This window comes from Homo sapiens, chromosome 20 (genome assembly GCF_000001405.40).
Source record: "Homo sapiens chromosome 20, GRCh38.p14 Primary Assembly".
In the NCBI taxonomy this organism is placed as follows: Eukaryota; Metazoa; Chordata; class Mammalia; order Primates; family Hominidae; genus Homo; species Homo sapiens.
In genome coordinates this window covers 61,738,155-61,756,251 of record NC_000020.11, presented here as the reverse complement: position 1 = coordinate 61,756,251, position 18,097 = coordinate 61,738,155, and the positions used below count along the sequence as shown (strand labels likewise).

The window sequence follows — 18,097 nt, the reverse complement described above, 5'->3', positions numbered from 1 at the left end:
GCCAGGGTTGAGAGGAGCTCAGGTGCAGGCCCAGGATGCAGACTCCAGACATCCTGCTCTGAGCTCTGGCACCACAGCCCAGGGGGTGCGTTCACGCTAACGAAGCCTGCACCTCCTCCATGTGCTCTTAGGCTGTCTGTGATTCATCAGAATGTGCAGAGGAGAAGGCATGAGAGCTCGGCCCACAGTGGACACAGTGGCGCAGCCTGCCCTGCAGTGGGAACGTGAGCATGGGGGGCACGGGCTGGGCGTGGTGAACACCCCAAGTGAGCCTGGGGTGATGCAGTTGGGTGGCCGCATCCAACCCTGTGAAGTGCTGGGTCCTTTGCTGCTGACCATACACAGAACTCTTTTTCAGACTGAGTTTGGTATCAGTGTGAGTGTGCAACACCTGCGCATGTGTTTCATGTAGCCGCACGTGTGTACTGTGTGGAATGTGCGTACGTGTAAATGTGTGGTGTGTGTGTGTGGTGTGTATATGTGTGTAGTGTGTGTGGCATGTAGTGTGTGCAGTGTATGTGGTATGTCCATGCGATTCATGTATGTGGTATAAAATGTACTGTGTGTGGTGTATATGGTGTGTGGGGCATGTGTGACATGCTCCGTGTGTGTGGTGTGTGGGGCATGTGTGTGGGTGTGTGCAGCATGCACTGTGTATGTGGTGTGTGTGGTGTGTATGGGGCATGTGTGTGGGTGTGTGCAGCATGCACTGTGTATATGGTGTGTGTGGTGTGTATGGGGCATGTGTGTGTGTGGTGTGTGATGTGCACTGTGTGTATGGTGTGTGTGTGGTGTGTACGGGGTGTGTGTGTGTGGTGTGTGACGTGCACTGTGTGTATGGTGTGTGTGGTGTGCATGGGGCGTGTGTGTGTGTGTGTGTGTGGTGTGTGTGGCATGCACTATGTGTGTGGTGTTACAAGGCAGTGTGTGTGCGGTGTGCACTGTGTGTGTGGTGTGTGTGGGGCGTGTGTGTGTGTGTGGTATTGATATGGTTTGGCTGTGTCCCCACCCAAATCTCATCTTACATTGTATATCCCAGAATTCTCACGTGTTGTGGGAGGAACCCAGGGGGAGGCAATTGAATCACCGGGGCCAGTCTTTCCCGTGCTATTCTCGTGATAGTGAATAAGTCTCACAAGATCTGATGGGTTTATCAGGGGTTTTCATTTTGCTTCTTCCTCATTTTCTTTTGCTGCTGTAATGTAAGAAACGCCTTTTGCCTCCTGCCATAATTCTGAGGCCTCACAGCCATGTGGAACTGTAAGTCCAACTAAACCTCTTTTTCTTCCCAGTCTCGAGTATGTCTTTATCAGTAGTGTGAAAACGGACTAATACAGGCACGCACTCTGTGTGTGGTATGTGCAGGGTATATGTGTGGTGTGTGTGGCGTGCACTGTGTGGTGTGTGTGGGGCATGTGTGTGGTGTGTGGCATGCATCGTGTGTGTGGTGTGTGTGGCGTGCAGTGTGTGTGTGGTGTGTGTGGCATGCACTGTGTGTGTGGTGTGCATAGTGTGTGCGGGGCGTGCAGTGTGTGTGCGGTGTGTGTGGCATGCACTGTGTGTGTGGTGTGCATAGTGTGTGCGGGGCGTGTGTGCGTGTGGTGTGTGGGGCGTGTGTGTGTGGTGTGTGTGCCGTGCACCGTGTGTGTGGTGTTCCGGGCAGTGTGCCTGCACCTGTTGTGTGCTGCTGCCCTTGGAATGGCACCCGTTCCTCATCCCTCCTCTCCCCAGGGACACCCCAAGCCCTGTGGAGCCTGCAGTGGGCAGGGGGACAGCAGGGGCAGTGGAAGGGCCTGGGTAGCAGCAGAGGGACCTGGGGGCTGCCGTGGGCGGGGACTTGTCCTCAACAGCCCTGGAGGGAAGAGTGGCTGCATCAAGAGGATTCAGGGGTATTTGGAGCCCTGGGCGGGACCCCTGGCTGGGGACACTCCTCCCTGCCTTCGGGGATGCCTTGGGGTCTGTCTGCACTCTGCCATCTGAGTCTCCACCTCGGCTGAAAGGCTCTGGTCCACAAGCCAGTGGGCTGAGACAGAGATTTATTCCCTTAACAGCTCTGGAGGCCAGAAGTCCAAAATCAAGATGTTGCAGCACTGGTCCCTGGGAGGCTGTGCAGGAGAATCTGCTCTGGGCGTCTCTCCTGGCTCCTGGTGGTGCCACAATCTTCCCTGATCCTTGGCTTTTGAAGGCATCCCCCAGCTCTCTGCCTCATCTTCACAGGACTTCTCCCTGTGCCTGTCTGTGCCCAAATTTCCCCTTCTATAAGGACACAGTCCTACTGCATCAGGGCCCACGCTAATCACTTCTTCTTCACTAATTACATCGGCAAACCCCCTATTTCCAAGTTAAGTCATGTTCTGAGGTTAGGATTTCAATACCTGAATTTTAGGGGACATAGTTCAGCCCAAAGGACCTGGGGGGACAGAAACACCCAGGAAAGTCCACAGGTCAGCGCCTGGACCCGCCTGGCCGTGGGACATTGCTCGGCCGAGTTCATCCTCATAAACGCTGACGTGTGCTAGAAGATACAATATTAGTTTCATAAACAACAGTTTCTTTTTTTGCAAACCATACCCACAGGTCCTATTGCCACTTTTCAGTGCTGCAGCAGCTAGTCAGATGACAACTGGGTGAGAGCTTGGTCTCGAGTGTTTCCTGTGAGGCCAGAATATTGCTCTGATTCCTCAGGGGTGACTCAGCCCTCCGGTGGGAAATATGTGACCTCATTTGCATTTCCTAATTGAATTGCTATCAGCTTTCCTGCAAGACTGCACCAAAAAACAGTTCTTCCAGATTCCAGCACTGCCTGCATTGCCCACAGAAAGGCTGCTTTTAAATAGTTGCTAAGAGAGGGCGACAAAAGAAGGAGAAAAGTTGCCAAATTTTTATGGTTCATCTAACTGTAAAGCTGTCAGTTTTACCCAGCTCCCCAGAGTCGCTAAAATAATGGACAGAGGAGGCGGCACTTGAAGAAACCTCGACATAAGAGAAATGAAATTTACAGAACCAGGAAATTAGGGGTCCCCATGCACCTGCCCTGGCAGAATCTGCTTCCAGGCTCCTCTCAATAAACACTGCCCTGGGACTCCCAGCGCTCTGTAAACTGATGCTTTGAAGGAGGCCATTTGTTTCTCCAGAACCTTCTGCCAGCAGAACTCTTGCTTACCACGTGCCCCCATCAGAACTCCCACCTTCTCTAAACACAGTTAGGTAGCCCTCTGCATGCATTTGTTTAAAAAAATTAAATTGTGAGTAATAGACTATAAGTACAACAGCGTACAGAACACCAGCTAAAAAAATGATGGCAGAATGAGCACCTGTCTTGCCACAAGACTCCCTCCCACCCTCTGGTGTCCCCCAGCATGGCTTCCTGCTGCCCCCTGAAAGGAACCCTCAACCGACTGTAACTCTGCACCTCAGTGCCACCCGAATTTGGACTTCATGGGAGTGCGGTCACTCGGCTGACACGTGTTCCTGCTGCCAGGCACCTGCCTGCTCTCCTTCTTTGGTCTGTTTGTGAGATTCGCTGGCTTTGTTGCTTCTAGCTGCAGTTTGTTCACTTTTACTGCCGTATAATATTCCACTTTAGGAGCCCACTGCAATTTATTGACTCATTGCAATGGTGAGGGCATGTGTGTTGTTTCCAGCTTTTGGTGATTATGCGTAAGATTTCTCTTAACGTCCCGTACAGAGTTCTTGGTATTACCTGCCTATACTGCTATGGGCATACACCAAAAACGAGGCATATGTATATTTGACTTTAATAGTAATTCTGAATTGCTGTCTAAAGTGTTTGTACCATTGTACACTCCCATCAAGAGTATACGAGTGCTGCAAATGTCCTTTCCCAGACTCTGCCTTATTGTCTCATTTTTAAGATATATGTTTTGATGATCAGAAGTTCTTTTTTTTTTTTTTTTTTTTTGACAGGCTTTTGCTCTGTTGCCCAGGCTGGAGTGCAGTGGCATGATCTCAGCTCACTGCAACCTCTACCTCTCGGGCTCAAGTGATTCTCCTGTTTGAGACTCCCTAGTAGCTGGGATTACAGGTGTGCACCACCATGCCTAGCTAATTTTTGTATTTTTAGTGGAGACAGGGTTTCACCATGTTAGCCAGGCTGGTCTCGAACTCCTGACCTTGGGTGATCTGCCCACCTTGGCCTCCCAAAGTGCTGGGATTACAGGCGTGAGCCACCGCACCTGGCAGAAGTTCTTATTTTTAATAAAGTCCAGTGATCATTCTTTCCCGTGTTTCACGCTTCACGTGCCATGTGCGAGGAAGCTTTCCACACCCGGGGGTCAGTTCACTCCCAGCTGCATTGCTTTGCCTTTCCTGTTTAGGTTTTCAGTCCACCTCAAATGGATTTTGGTTGTGGTGTGAGGTAGGGGTCATTTTACTTTTTTCTTAAAGATGCCCCATTGGCCCAGCATCATTTATTGAAAAGACAGTCTTTCCTCTGTTGTTTCTGTAGAAATGGGCAAACTTTCCCCCAAATGGCCAGATGGTAAATATTTTAGGCATCTCAGGTTAAGGGGCAAAATTGAGGACATCGTATAGGTACTTACATAACCCTTTAAAATGGAACCATTTAAAAATGTAAAAACCAGTCTTAGCTTGCTGGCCATAAAAGGCCTGTGGGCTACAGCATGCTGGCACCTGCTCTACAGCACTGCTCTTATAATAAAAAATCAAGCGTCTGCACCCTGGGCATTTGACAAGGCTCATCAGATTGTAAAGATGAACTGGGTGGATTTTGTAGTATGAGAGTTATACGTCCATGAAGCTGATTTTTAAACACATTACATGTCTTTTTCTGGGCTCATTATTTTTGTTCCAAGTGTCTATCTAATCATCTTTGCTTCAAAATGACACCGTTTTAATGGCTGTAGTTCAGTGGTTCTCAAAAGGGGGCAGTTTTGCCCCCCAGGGAACATTTGGCAGTGGCTGGAAAGAGCTTTGGTTGCATATGGAGGTTATGGGGCTTTACCTGGCGTTTAGTGGGTAGAGGCCAGGAGTCTGGCTTACTATCCTGTAGCACACAGGACAGCCCCAACAACTTGTCTGGAAGGATGTGTCCTCCCATCTTTTTCTTGTTCTAGGCTACCTTCGCCCTTTCCATTTCCATTAAAAAATTTTAAGTCAGCTCTTTACTCTTCCCGAAACGAGCAAACAAAAAATCTGCTGGAATTTTTATTGAGGTTGTGTTGACTCTATGGCAACTTTGGGTAGAATCAATATTCTAACATAAGCCTTCCAAGTTATGAGCTCAGCATATCCCTCCATTTTTATAGTTCTTTAATTTTTCTCAACAAAATGTAAGAAGTCTTGTACATTTTTGTTAGATTTATTCCCAGTTATATGATCGTTTTTAATGCTATTGTAATTGGGATCTAGTTCAGATTTTATTTTCTAAGGATTTATCCCTGGTACATAGAAGTACAACTATTACATCCAGCACCCTTGCTAACCTTACTCACGAGTCCCAGTAACTTAGTACAGGTTCTTTTAGGACAGATTACATTTTCTAACATTCATAATCATATAAGCTACAAATAATGTCAGTTTCATTTATTCTAATTTCTTTTTCTTGCCTTACTGCATTGGCTTGTACCTCCAGTGTGTGTATCCTCCCTATAAGGATTTGGGAGGACAAAACTTTGGGAGAGCAATTCCTCTTTTTGTAATCTTTGGATAGGTTTGTGTAAGATTTGTTTTAATTTTTCCTGACAGCTTGGGTAGAACTTACTAGTGGAGCCAACAGGTGTGGACAGTTCTTTGTGATAAGGATTTTAGTTTTGTTTGTAACAATAAAACAGTGCAGGATTTTTTCTTATGTTAGTTTGGTAAGGTGTATATTTCTACACTATTATCCTTTTCATGTATATTTTTAAGTGTATTGGTATAAATTGTATATAATATCCCCAAATGATCTTTCTGACGTCCATGAGATTAGTCATGATGTCATCTTTTCATTCCTGATAAGGATTAGTTGCAGTTTATACCTTTTCTTTTTGCTCAGTCTGATCAGCCTTGTAGTTTAAAGGACCAATTTTGTTATTTCTATTGTTTTCTGTTTCATTGTTTTCTCCTCCTGTTTTAACAATTTCTTTCTTTAGACTTTGGGTCTCATTTTCAGTTATTTTTATAGTTTCTTGAGATGAATGCCTGGATTGTTGATTTTCTGCCCTTTTTTTTTGATAGGGTCTTGCTGTGTTGCCCAGGCTAGAGTGCAGTGGTGCAATCTCAGCTCACTGCAACCTCTGTCCCCTGGGTTCGAGCAATTCTCCTGCCTCAGCCTCCTGAGCAGCTGGGATTACAGGGGCGTGCCACCATGCCTGGCTAACTTTTGCATGTTTAGTAGAGACAGGGTTTCACCACGTTGGCTGGGCTGGGCTCAAGCTCCTGACCTCAGGTGATCCACCTGCCTTGGCCTCCCAAAGCGCTGGGATTACAGGCACGAGCCACCACGCCCAGCCAATTTTCTGCCTTCTTTATCTTGTAATATATGCATTTAAGGCTAAACATTTCCATCTGGGCATGACTTTAGCTACATCCCAGTAGTTTTATTACTCAGTTCAAAATATTCACTAATTTCCATGTGATTTTTTTTTTTCCTGCCCAAGGGTTAATGAGAAGGCTTTTACTTAACTTCTAAATCTATGGGGATTTTCCAGTTACATTCTTTGTTATTGATTTCTAGCCTACTTGCTCTGAGTTAAGAAAACAAACTATGTTTTGATTTTAAACCTTTGAAGTATGTTGAGAATTGCTTGAAGGCTATGAAGTATGTTGGGACTTGCTTGGTTAATATTTGTAAATGTTCTGTCTATACTTAAAAATCATGTGTATTTAGCAGTGGTTGGTTTCTGTGCTTTTATATGTCTCAGTAAAGCCAGACCTGTTAATTGTGTGATTCTAATCTATTTCCTTACTGATATTTTCTGCTTGTTCTATTATTTGCTAAGAAATTTTGTTAAAATTGACCACTGATTGCATAGTTACTTCTCCTTTTATTTCTATCAATTTTGGCATAAATATTTTGAAGTCATATTATTAAGTGCACACAAATTTAGGATTCCTGTATCTTCTTGGTGAATTATTTATCATTACGAAGTGTTCCTCCTTGAATAGAATGCTTTTTCCTCAGATTCTATTCATCTGATATTAACAGAGTCCACTAGCTTCCTTTTGATTGGTACTTGCATGGTATTTATTTCTCTAGGATTTTACTGCTAAACTTTAGCCTTATACCTTTTAGGTATATCTTTTACAAACTGCATATAGTTGGATTTATCTTTATCCATCAATTTTTTAAATTACAACAAAGAGAAATGTGTAGCCCATCTATTCTGTTTTCATTTCTCTTTTTTGCATTTTTTGGCTTGATAATTTTTATTATTCTATTTTTTCCTTTTATTACGTTACTACTTACAGACTTTTATGACTCTTTTAGTGATTTTCTAAAGACTTTATAACAAGTATTTTCGTCTTATTTAGGAGTAATATTAATTTGTTATTTCCATCATTTTTGAGAAAAATGCAAACAACTTCTATCTCTTTGATTCCATTTATCCCTTCTCAAAGTTTATGCAGTTTTTGCTGTAAATTCGAGTTCTCTGTTTACACCCATGAAACATTACACTGCTGTGATTCATTTGTATTTTTCAGTGTTCTTGGCCTTTTCCCAGCTCTTCATTCTTTCCTCCATTTCTGAGTGTTCACCTCAACTTGTTTTATTTTTGTTTGAAGAACATCATTTGGGACAGATTCTTTCAGTTTCTCTTCATTCAACTTTACTTCCTGAAAGACAGTTTTACTGGATGATAGAATTCTATTTTCTTTTAGCACTTTTAAGATATTCCTTGGGAGGCCGAGGCAGGCAGATCACGAGATTAAGAGATCCAGACCAGCCTGGCCAACACGGTGAAACCCCATCTCTACTAAAAATACAAAAATTAGCTGGTCATGGTGGCACACACCTGTGATCCCAGCTACTCAGGAGGCTGAGGCAGGAGAATCACTTAAACCCGGGAGGTGGAGGTTGCAGTGAGCTGAGATTGCGCCACTGCACTGCAGTCTGGGCAACAGAGCGAGACTCTGTCTCAAAAAAAAGAAAAGAAATCATTCAATGGCATGGAATGGAACGGTCTTCCAACCCCCCCACAACGCCCCAGCTCCTGCGGAGAAGTCAGCCTCCTAGTCATTGCTTCCTCAAAGGAATTCTGCCTTTTCTGTCTGCTTTTGAGATTTCCTCTTTGTCTTTGGGTTCTAACTATTTTACTATAAAGCATCCAGGTGCTGTTTTTTTTTTTAAATATTTCTCCTGCATAGAGTTCACAGGGCTTCTTGAATCCATGCCTAAATGAATGTTATCAGTTTTGGAATATTTTCTGCCACTATATTTTCAAATATTACTTCTGCCCCATTTTCTCTCTCCCCCTCATATTGCAAATATACACATTAGACCTTCTTACTGCCTCTCTAATATCTCTTACGGTTGCTTCTGTATTTTCCTTCTGTGTATCTCTTCACGCTTTAGAGCACGAATGTTTTTGATATATTTTGCTTCACTAATTCTTCAGCTATGTCAAATCTGCAGATATATGTATCCATTGAGCTCTTCATTTTGTTTGGTTTAGTTTTCAATTCCAAACTGCCCAACGATTAAGAATTCTGTTTTATACCTTCTAATTATCTCTCAAAGTCTTCTATTTAATTTGCTTAAAGATAGTAAGTGTAGTTAGTGTAAAATCTCTCTGATTGCCCCATGCTCTGGAGCCTCTGTGGGTCTTTTTTTTTTTTTTTTTTTGAGACAGAGTCTCACTCTGTTGCCTAGGCTGGAGTGCGGTGGCTCACTCGGCTCACTGCGAGCTCCGCCTCCCAGGTTCATGCCATTCTCCTGCCTCAGCTTCTCGAGGATCTGGGACTATAGGCACCTGCCACTACGCCCGGCTAATTTTATTTTTGTTTGTATTTTTAGTAGAGACAGAGTTTCACCGTGTTAGCCAGATGGTCTCGATCTCCTAACCTCATGATCCGCCCGCCTCGGCCTCCCAAAATGCTCAGATTACAGGCGTGAGCCACCGCGCCCGGTCCCTGTGGGTCCTTTCTTATCTGCCTCTTCTTTCGATTGTTCTTTCTATGTCTTGTCCCTCCTCATGTGCCCAGTCATGAGGCCGAGTGCTGGACGTTGAATATGAAAGGAGATGGGCACAGCTGAAGGCCTGGGTGACAGTTCACACTGGGGGAGATGCACAGTTGCTTCTGGCAGGCGGCCAGGACACCAGCAATCCGGTGTCACCTTGATCATCTATAGAGGCTGGCATCACGCTCTGTAAGGGCGCATCAACCAGGTGGCCCAGCGTCCCACAGTGACCCCCACTCCCTGCCTGCCTCCTCCTGCCCCCATGCCACCTGGCAAGGCCCAGCACTGTGATAAGCACAGGACTGTGAAGCCTGGAACCAGGCAATGACAGCCATATGCGCTGCTGTTTTCCACCTCCTGACCTCCATAACCTCATGAAATACCAGCACCCTTTGGCTGGGACATGGGTAGCATTACTCTCCCATTCTCCAGAGCAGTTCACCTCAAAGTTGTGTGAATTCTCCCAAAACACCCAGCCAGTAAGTCGCAGAAGCCTTGCCGTGCACCCACACCCTGGGTGGCTGCTCTTGCGCCATGCCGGGCTCTGCCATACCTGCAAAGTCCTTTTCCACTCCTTCCCCACACATCAGTTCTCCTGTGCAGCACAGGGCTGTGGTCACATGCTCAGCACCCTCATCCATGATGTAACAGCACCCACTTCCAGGGGTGTGGAGAGGGTTAGATGAGCCTACACCACTTGGGGCAAGGTCTGAGTGGGTGCTAGAAAGTCAGGAGAGGAACCATTGGCAACAAAAGCGCTGGAGGACCGGGTCTCCTGGGCTGCAGAGACTGCCCACTGTGCCCTGCAACAGTCATGTCTCAGGGACTCAGGGCTGTGCCCCACAGTGACCCCATGGCCCCCATGGGACAGGGTCCTCAGGCTGCCCAAGGGCCTGCCTTGTTCACCAGGGCGTGGCTTGTAATAATCACTCAGGAAAGTACGAAAACGACATACGCCGGACTCACAGGTGGGGCTCACGATTTGGGGGCCACTGCTGTTAGAGGCACGCTCTGCTGCCTGGTTTAACATCTGGGCTCCCCAGGGTGCGCTGAGCCTGGGACATGAATTCAGTGTCCCCTGCTCCGCTGGTTGGGTGCTTCCTGCACCAGCCTGGTGTGGGTCGAGGCACATTCCCACGGGGACTGTCTAGCGGCAACCACAGCTGGGCCTGCCCCTTCTGCAGAGGATCAGGGGATTAAATCTGAAATCGCTTCATTAACATGCCCAAGAAAAGGTGTCATTATATTTTCAATTAGAGCCTTTATCGGAGGCCTTGGAAGGCTCTCAGGGGCTCTGCTCTCGGCTCACAATCGGGGACTTGGGGACAGCTTGGAAGTCACAGGCATGATGGGGATGAAAGTCCCTGCCTGTCAGTGTCCCGGCACAGCTCAGGGAGGGAAGGGACCCCCATGGGACAGGGTCCCCAGGCTGTCCAAGGGCCTGCCTTGCTCACCAGGGCGTGGCTTGTAATAATCACTCAGGGAAGAAGGAAAATGACATACACCGTCCTAGACTCGTCAGGACTCACAGGTGGGGCTCATGATTTGGGGGCCACTGCCGTTAGAGGCGTGCTCTGCTGCTTGGTTTAACACACTCAGGAGGACTCTCAAGACCTCCTTCCCCCGTGGGGTCAGCTCATCATGCAGTGAAGACTGTCCATCTGAGTCACACTTTCTCTTTTCTAACCTAAACCACCTCCGCTTCCATCTCCGCTTCCATCTGAGAAACAAGTCAGAAGAAGACACAGGTCCCTCCCTTCCCAAAGTGGGTTCCTTGGCACACCTGTCTTGCAAGCTTTCCATGGAGAAGGGTTCCTTGGTCAGACAGTTTGGGGAAACTTGCAGACTGGTCTCACTCAGAGGCTTACACAGCACATGAGTCATGAGGTTCTGGGAAACCCACGGAAAGGAATCTGCTTGCCTCTGCTTAACGCTTTACTTCCCGAGGGCCCTTTTCCGAGGGAGTGCCCATGATTGCTAGTGGCCGCCGCCTTGCGTGGTGATTTCCTTTGCTCACCGTATCTCAAACGACCCCATAGAGGCCTCATGTTAACTGGGGGGATCTGGAGGGGTTGGCACACATTCTTTCCACCACTGGGGCCCCTCAGGCAGGCAGCTGCAACAGCTGGACCTGCAGGCTGGCCTTCCTTAGTGCTCTCCCACAGGCCGCCTGGTTGCAGCTTCTTCAGCAGCCTCCACACCTGAAGGCTGGCGCAGTGGCTGCAACCAACGCCAGGACACTCAAGGCGAAGGGGACCTGGCCACTTCCCCGTCAGGCACGGGGAACCTAACAGCTAGAACTGGGGATGAACGCAGGTTGTTCAGGAGCCTGGTGCTGGATTGCTGGAATATGCCAGGATGAAAGGGAGCCTCAGGACAGGGCATGGTGAAGGCGCCCCTCCCTGTCACCCGGGTGAGCCAGGCAGCCGGGTTAGAAGGAGGCAGAGTCGGAGGGCAGCTGGGATCCTGAACAGCAGATGTTTTATGTCTGTGTGAAGCTGTCTGTCTGTCTCTCTCTCTCCCTCCCTTTCCTTCTCTCTCTCCCTCCACCTCTCTCCATCTCTCTCCCTCCTTCTCTCTCTCCCTCTCTTCCTCTCCCCTCCCTTTCCTTCTCTCTCTCCCTCCACCTCTCTCCATCTCTCTCCCTCCTTCTCTCTCTCCCTCTCTTCCTCTCCCTCCCTTTCCTTCTCTCTCTCCCTCCACCTCTTTCCATCTCTCTCCCTCCTTCTCTCTCTCCCTCTCTTCCTCTCCCTCCCTCTCCTTTCCTGTCTCTCTCCACCTCTCTTCTCTCTTTCTCCCCATCCCTCTCTCATTCTCTTCTCCCTCTCCTTTGCTGTCTCCCTGCACCTGCCTTCCTCTCTGTTATTCTCTCCATCGCCTCCCCACTCTCTGGTTGGCTCCTTTCCAACCACACAGTCTCCGCTTGCTTCTCATCCCTCCAGGCTTCAGAACGCCCTGGGCCTGGTGGACTACAAACTTCGGGAGGTAGGAGAGATTCCAGAATTTGCAGTGCCCAGTTTGAAATGAAAATTTGGGGCCCCTTGTTCAAAAACATATGAAGAGCGACAAGACCGTGGCATAGTGTCTGAACCTGAGTGTGGGGCCTGTGTGCCTGCCCAGGGGGCCTTCCCGCAATGACGGCCCTGCCTCAGGTCAGTGCAGAGGGCAGGGGTGCTTGGTTGGCAATGGCCTGAGTGGCACAGCCCGAGGAGGAGGTGACTGTCTGTCCTGTGGGAGCCCTGGCAGAGGCTCTGCCCAGGGCCTGCAGGAGGAACTAGGTCATCTAAACTCCAGCGCAGACCCGGGCGGTCACACCTTACCTTGTGTCCAGAGTGCGGGGACGAGGTCTGGGCCACCAGCAACCGCACCACGGCGTCCCATTTCTCTGCTGTCTGGCTGTCCCATGCAGTCACCGTGAACGCCACCTGCTCGGAGGGGACCTGCAGCTCCCGGGTGGCGAAGACTGTCCCATCTGCCCCAACTTTGAAGTCCATGCTGTTGGTCTCATATTGTGTCCCCTTGGTCCCCACACAGCTGCTGAACTTGACTGCAAGAGGAGGGGGAGAGAGTCAGGGTCGGCTTGGCCAGCAGAAGGGCGGTAACAATGGCAGCAACCACGCAGGACGCCCTACAGGCCCCCAGTGGGCATGAGGGGCATGAGGTTTGCACTGATTTCTCCACCTCCCGAGAAGGTGGTGTGTTTTATCTCAACCCCCTAGAGAATTAGCCAGAGGCCTTTAAAAAAGGGGGGGAAGAAAAGCAACACTGAGCTTCCATTCTATTTACAACACAGCTGCACTCCCTTCTGCAAACGCATCTCTCCCTTGCCGCTGTTATCTCCGAATTCAGCCGGAGTCTGTGAGCGGCACAGTGGGTATTCTCCACCTCAAAAATATTCCCTCAGTTCCCCCCACTCTTGCCTATGCAAATCTTCTTCCTGCCAGCAGAGACTGTGAAGCCACTAATGGACCTGTTTTTCCACTCCAAGAAGGCTAAGTACAAGGAAGGAGCAAGAGAGAGCTGGCATCTGGGGACCATTCCCCCATGGCAGGTGGATTCTGGCAGCAGAACTCGGCTCTGCTGTGTTTCTGGTCCTTTTTATTATTAAGCCAGACCTGATGCCTGCAAATGGCCTTGGGGTGGGCTAGGCAGGTGTGGCCAGGGCAGACCCTGGCCCCACCAAGTGCTTTCTTGGTGAACTGGAAACAGAGTTGAAGTCAGACAGTCTATTGATACCGCTGGGTGCTGAGCATTGCTTCGCTTCCAAAACATTAACCAGTAGGCACCAGGATGCCAACCTCCCTTCACGGCTCCAGCATCATGGCCATCTCTAATTCTGCTGCAGAAAAAGACACCTCCAGAGGCGCAGATTCATCCGGACACATTAGTGCATTTTTTAGACGTGTGCTTTTGCAACTGTCACCTACAGCCGTGGTAAATTACGACGCACCCACAGCCCGTGTCACATTCTGCTCATAAAAGCCACGGATAAAGTTAACTCCTATTTATAAAAATGTGGGTATCTAAGCAATTATGGTGGGAGGATTGGTTTTTCAAGCAATTTTGCTGTCACAGCTTACATGATTTAATTACTATTTATTCGAGAAACCAAAAAAAGCGACTCACTGTTACATTAGATAAAGTGTTTTCCCCTCGCATTCACCTTTTACTGTTGCCTGCCTTGAAAGAATAAATAACGTGTCTGTTCCCTCTTCTCAATAGTTCACTTTAGATATCTTCCCAGCCAATGGCACCTCCTACTTGTGGGTTTCATGTGAAACATTTTCATGTGAAAATGTTTTTAAATGTGATGACACCAGGCATTTCCACCCTGTCTGGTTCAACAGAGCAATGAAACTTCCAGACTCCAGAGCCCCCCGGTGGCTCCTCTGATGGACAGGATCAACCCAGGCAAGGGTCTGCTGTGGCTCCCCGGATCTGTTCCCCTTCTAAGGACGGAATCATTACATTTTTTTTTTTTGAAGTGACAGGAAAATTCCAAACTGCTTTTATAGTACTGTTTGCCCAATGGTAAACAAATTAAAATCAGCAACAACTTAGTGGATCAATCATTTCTGACATCTGATTGTCACTGACAAAGATAAAAATGACAGTGCTGTGATTGCTGAGAGATGAGCACAAACACACAAACAAGCCCCTTTGTTCCCTAAAAGCAAATTCCTAATAAAACTAATGCAATTGGACAGCAGCAGGAGGGTTTGTGTTGTCTTCAGGATTAAACACAGTGTTGTAGTTAAAAAAAAGTACAGGCGGCTGGGCGCGGTGGCTCCTGCCTGTCATCTCAGCACTTTGGGAGGCTGGGCGTGGTGGCTCATGCCTGTAATCCCAACAGCACTTTGGGAGGCCGAGGAGGGTGGATCACGAGGTCAGGGGATCGAGACCATCCTGGCTAACACGGTGAAACCCCGTCTCTACTAAAAATACAAAAAGTTAGCCGGGCGTGGTGGCGGGTGCCTGTAGTCCCAGCTACTCGGGAGGCTGAGGCAGAAGAATGGCGTGAACCTGGGAGGAGGAGCTTGCAGTGAGCCGAGATCACGCCATGGCACTCCAGCCTGCGCAACAGAGCGAGACTCGGTCTCAAAAAAAAAAAAGTACAGGCACACAGCTTTGGTGACATCTTAGGCAAGCATTGAAGCTGCTTTGAGAACGAATGGGCCACCAACGTCTGAATGACCAGGCAGGAAACAGCGGTGGCGTCAGCCATATGAACCAAGGACTTTGCAGGTGAAAGGCGTTCCCTGCCGGAGAGACCCTGGATGAAACTGATGACAGCGCCCTCAAAGGCAGCTCCGTGGGTGGCTTGGGGAAGTGATGCCCGGGGGACCGCACCAGGGCCCCTGCACACTGGCTTTCTAGATTTTGTTGTTGTTGTTGTTTTTTGAGATGGAGTCTTGCTCTGCTGCCCAGGCTGGAGTGCCGTGGTGCCGTCTTGGCTCATTGCAACCTCCGCCTCCCAGGTTCAAGTAATTCTTCTGCCTCAGCCTCCCAAGTAGCTGGGACTACAGGCGTGCACCACCATGCCCAGCTGAGTCTTGTATGTTTAGTAGACAGGGTTTCACCACGTTGGCCAGGCTGGTCTCGAACTCCTGACCTCAGGTGATCCACCCGCCTTGGCCTCCCAAAATGTTGGGATTACAGGCGTGAGCCCCTGTGCCCGGCAACTTCCTAGATCTTTATGCCTTTTCCGTCTGTGTCTAACAGGCCCCGTCCAATCACGAGAAAGCTCCAGGGCTTTGTGACAAGATGCAGTCCCAACATCCTGTTTCAGTCTAACCATAACTTGGGTGTTCCGCTCCAAACACGACCTCTGTGTCTGAACACTCAGCCCACTAGCATTTGTGATTCTGAGTCCTCAGCCGTGGAGAATCAGGAGGAAAACAGGAGTTGTCACTGGTAGAGAAGGAAGCAGCCCAAGGGACAAAGGTCACGATACGGTTACGCAAATGGTGCTGGCCCACACCCTCCTGGAGAGAGGCCTGGAAGATGGGGGGGTCATTCAGAGACCCCAGTTGTTGGGGGGACCTGCTTTCCAGGAGAAGAAAGGAGCTTCAGAACCTTCAATACCTGCTCCTGTGCCCCACCAGGCTGTGGCCTCTTTCATAAGGAAAGAGCAATAAGGCAAGTCTTCTGAGACGCCAGGGGCATTCACAGAACATTAGCACTGAATGTATGAACAATCTGTTTGGAAACTCTGTGAAATGTGGGTACCTATGAACACAACCCAGAATGTTACTAACACTTTGCCATGCTATAGAAACGGCAAGTGAGTGTGCAGGGCAGCCTCAAGGGAGACATGTCTGAGGTCTTGGGATGGGGACTCCTCCCCATATCCTATTTGTCTTTCCTTGTGAATTGCCTAAAAATGGTTTCCCTCTTTACTTAGGCTACTGGGAAGCTCAGAGGCAGTACCGTAGCTGGCTTTTCTAACAATGCTGAGACATTTACTAACCTCAGCACGTTCCATTCTACTTTTCACCTTTGTTTCCTCTTCAACCTGCTTCCTTCCTTTTGCTTCCTTTTTAATTTTTGGAGTCTTCGCCTGTCTCTGCAAGGTTAAATGCATTCCAGGAGGACAACAGAAAAGTGCCCATGTATGTGTGGGTGTCGGCATGCACTGAGGGTCTCCGTGTACAGAGAGGACGCTCCTGACGGTGTTGCCTGGCACTGACTTATTTGGATTCTGCTTTGCCTCTCTACGAATGTGGCTGGAGGCTGAGCCTGAGGCGTCGGCTGGAGAGGCCCCCAACTGCTTATAGAACTTTCTGTGGGCGCTTGGAGTCCTGTGCTGCCCTCGCCTCTGCAGCGGCCGGGAGCGGCCTGCTGTCTGCCTGAACCTTGGCTCTGGCCAGCAGTGGGCAGTCCTTCCAGTTTTACCTTCTGAACTGGGCCTGGGCTCCAAGCCCGCTGTCACTCACCCTCCTCTAGGCAGGAATCTGGTGCCTCAGCCCCATCCAGGACCCGCACTCTGGACTCTGCAGACTGGACACAGAGGTTGTAACTGGTGGTTTCTGGCAGAGCTGGCTCTGGCCCAGTGCTCAGGCCTGGCTGGGATGTTGGCTCCCATGGAAACCTGTAACCTGCCCTACCCCTCCCCTCACATCACCTGTTTTTGTTTCATTCCCTGGCTTCGTACCTGGGATTCCCATGTCCTCCCGTGTCTCCCGCCCCAGGACTGGTGAGTGTGCTGAGGTCAGGGCTGCTGTCCTGGGACCGGACAGCATCAGGCACCTGGTCAGGGTGAAGTAGGGGCAAAGCCTCCCCAGGCTGGTCCGGGGCTCCCATCAGGCTGAGGGCAGAAAGGGGGCTTCTGTCCTGCTTTGTGCTCAGCCCAGAATCTTCACGGGACCCCCCGCAACTCCCTCCCCATGGGAAACAGCCCCCAGAGGAGACTGCGCCAGCAGCCGCCCAGGCGTGAAGGCGAGTGACCAGTGGCACCACCCCGGCTGGAAGTTTAGTTTTCTTATGTATTTGTTTTTGATCTCCCAATTTCTCTATTAGTCTTCAGGAGAGAATTAACATCCAATGGATTCCCAGAAAACTTTTCCCTCGATGTACCAGCAAACACCTACAATGCCCTGAAAAGCCGCCTCTGCGACCCCAATGCAGATCACACGTCCTGTCCCAGCCCCTGCAGCCTCCACGCGGCGGGTGCACTGCCAGGCACGGGAAGGCAGCGCTGGCGAGTAGAACTGGCCCATCTCGCAGATAGGAAGCTGAGCCTCAGGGACGTTTCACGCCTTCGTCAAGGTGGTGAGAGGAGGAGCGGGATTGCCGTGAAGGTGGTGAGAGGAGGAGCGGGGTTTGCTGCCCGACTTCAGGGATCTGTCACCCTCGTCCAGCAGGGTTGGTTCTTCCCGAGGCTGGGAGGATGCCAAGCCTGGTGGAGGATGGGGGCGGTGGTGTGGTGTGGGGAGCTTCTGACTTGCACATCCTGAGGGAACCTTCTGCAGCTGATGTGTGAACTGGACCCCAGGCCGTGCCTCCGAGGAATCCCCAAGGCTATGGCCCCTCAGGTCCTGCTGGGGTGTTGGCCCCCACCTCTGCCTCAGAATGCAGGGGTTCTGCAGGGAAGCCGCAGACCAGCCTGCTGCCTTGGGCCCTAGGGACACTGCAGCCCCAGAAAGTACTGTGGGGGACAAAAGAGTTGTTTCTCGGGGGAGAAAACACCTGTGAGGAAATGCAGGTGCCACAGAGGGAAATCCTCCTGGGGAGGAGGGTACCTGTTCCATCCTCGGCCGACACGGGACTGCCTGGTGCCTGGTACCCACAGCCGCTACCTGCCGCACGCATCTCTCCATGGTTTGCTAATTACTTCCATTAGTTTTAAACAAACTTGACAAGAGACAGAAGGGTCCAGAGAGAAATTAAATCTAACTGTTTAAACATGTAGTCGGAGCCTCCCTTGCCTCTGTCCCCCTGGCGGTGGTTGCTGCA

General features: G+C 49.6%; 1 protein-coding gene and 1 long non-coding RNA gene across 8 annotated transcripts in view, besides 4 other annotated features; one reads left to right on the top strand and one right to left on the bottom strand.

Annotated features, from left to right (window-relative positions):
- The window catches only part of CDH4 (cadherin 4), a 688,357-nt gene that overhangs the window by 184,366 nt on the left and 485,894 nt on the right, over positions 1-18,097 (bottom strand). For all 5 annotated transcript variants that reach the window (NM_001794.5, XM_047439812.1, XM_047439813.1 and 2 more), the window contains one exon: positions 12,463-12,689. In NM_001794.5, coding sequence (NP_001785.2) covers positions 12,463-12,689 — 227 coding nt within the window. The remainder of the gene's footprint in view (positions 1-12,462; positions 12,690-18,097) is intronic.
- Positions 1,113-2,098: an enhancer, noted in NCBI's record as "H3K27ac-H3K4me1 hESC enhancer chr20:60329210-60330195 (GRCh37/hg19 assembly coordinates)". NCBI's record gives its function as "activates a minimal SCP1, AML or CMV promoter by ChIP-STARR-seq in naive H9 embryonic stem cells {active_cell/tissue: H9 hESC(naive)}" and the evidence as "EXISTENCE:reporter gene assay evidence [ECO:0000049][PMID:30033119]".
- Positions 1,179-18,052, top strand: CDH4-AS1 (CDH4 antisense RNA 1). Of its 3 annotated transcripts, none has more exons than NR_199021.1 (2): positions 1,179-1,260; positions 17,162-18,052. It is a non-coding gene; the product is annotated as a CDH4 antisense RNA 1 (long non-coding RNA). The 3 variants fall into 3 exon arrangements; NR_199023.1 differs by lacking the exon at positions 17,162-18,052 and adding an exon at positions 2,578-6,916; NR_199022.1 differs by lacking the exon at positions 17,162-18,052 and adding an exon at positions 2,052-6,916.
- Positions 2,099-3,085: an enhancer, noted in NCBI's record as "H3K27ac-H3K4me1 hESC enhancer chr20:60328223-60329209 (GRCh37/hg19 assembly coordinates)". NCBI's record gives its function as "activates a minimal SCP1, AML or CMV promoter by ChIP-STARR-seq in naive H9 embryonic stem cells {active_cell/tissue: H9 hESC(naive)}" and the evidence as "EXISTENCE:reporter gene assay evidence [ECO:0000049][PMID:30033119]".
- Positions 8,883-9,383: an enhancer, noted in NCBI's record as "H3K4me1 hESC enhancer chr20:60321925-60322425 (GRCh37/hg19 assembly coordinates)". NCBI's record gives its function as "activates a minimal SCP1, AML or CMV promoter by ChIP-STARR-seq in naive H9 embryonic stem cells {active_cell/tissue: H9 hESC(naive)}" and the evidence as "EXISTENCE:reporter gene assay evidence [ECO:0000049][PMID:30033119]".
- Positions 9,384-9,884: an enhancer, noted in NCBI's record as "H3K4me1 hESC enhancer chr20:60321424-60321924 (GRCh37/hg19 assembly coordinates)". NCBI's record gives its function as "activates a minimal SCP1, AML or CMV promoter by ChIP-STARR-seq in naive H9 embryonic stem cells {active_cell/tissue: H9 hESC(naive)}" and the evidence as "EXISTENCE:reporter gene assay evidence [ECO:0000049][PMID:30033119]".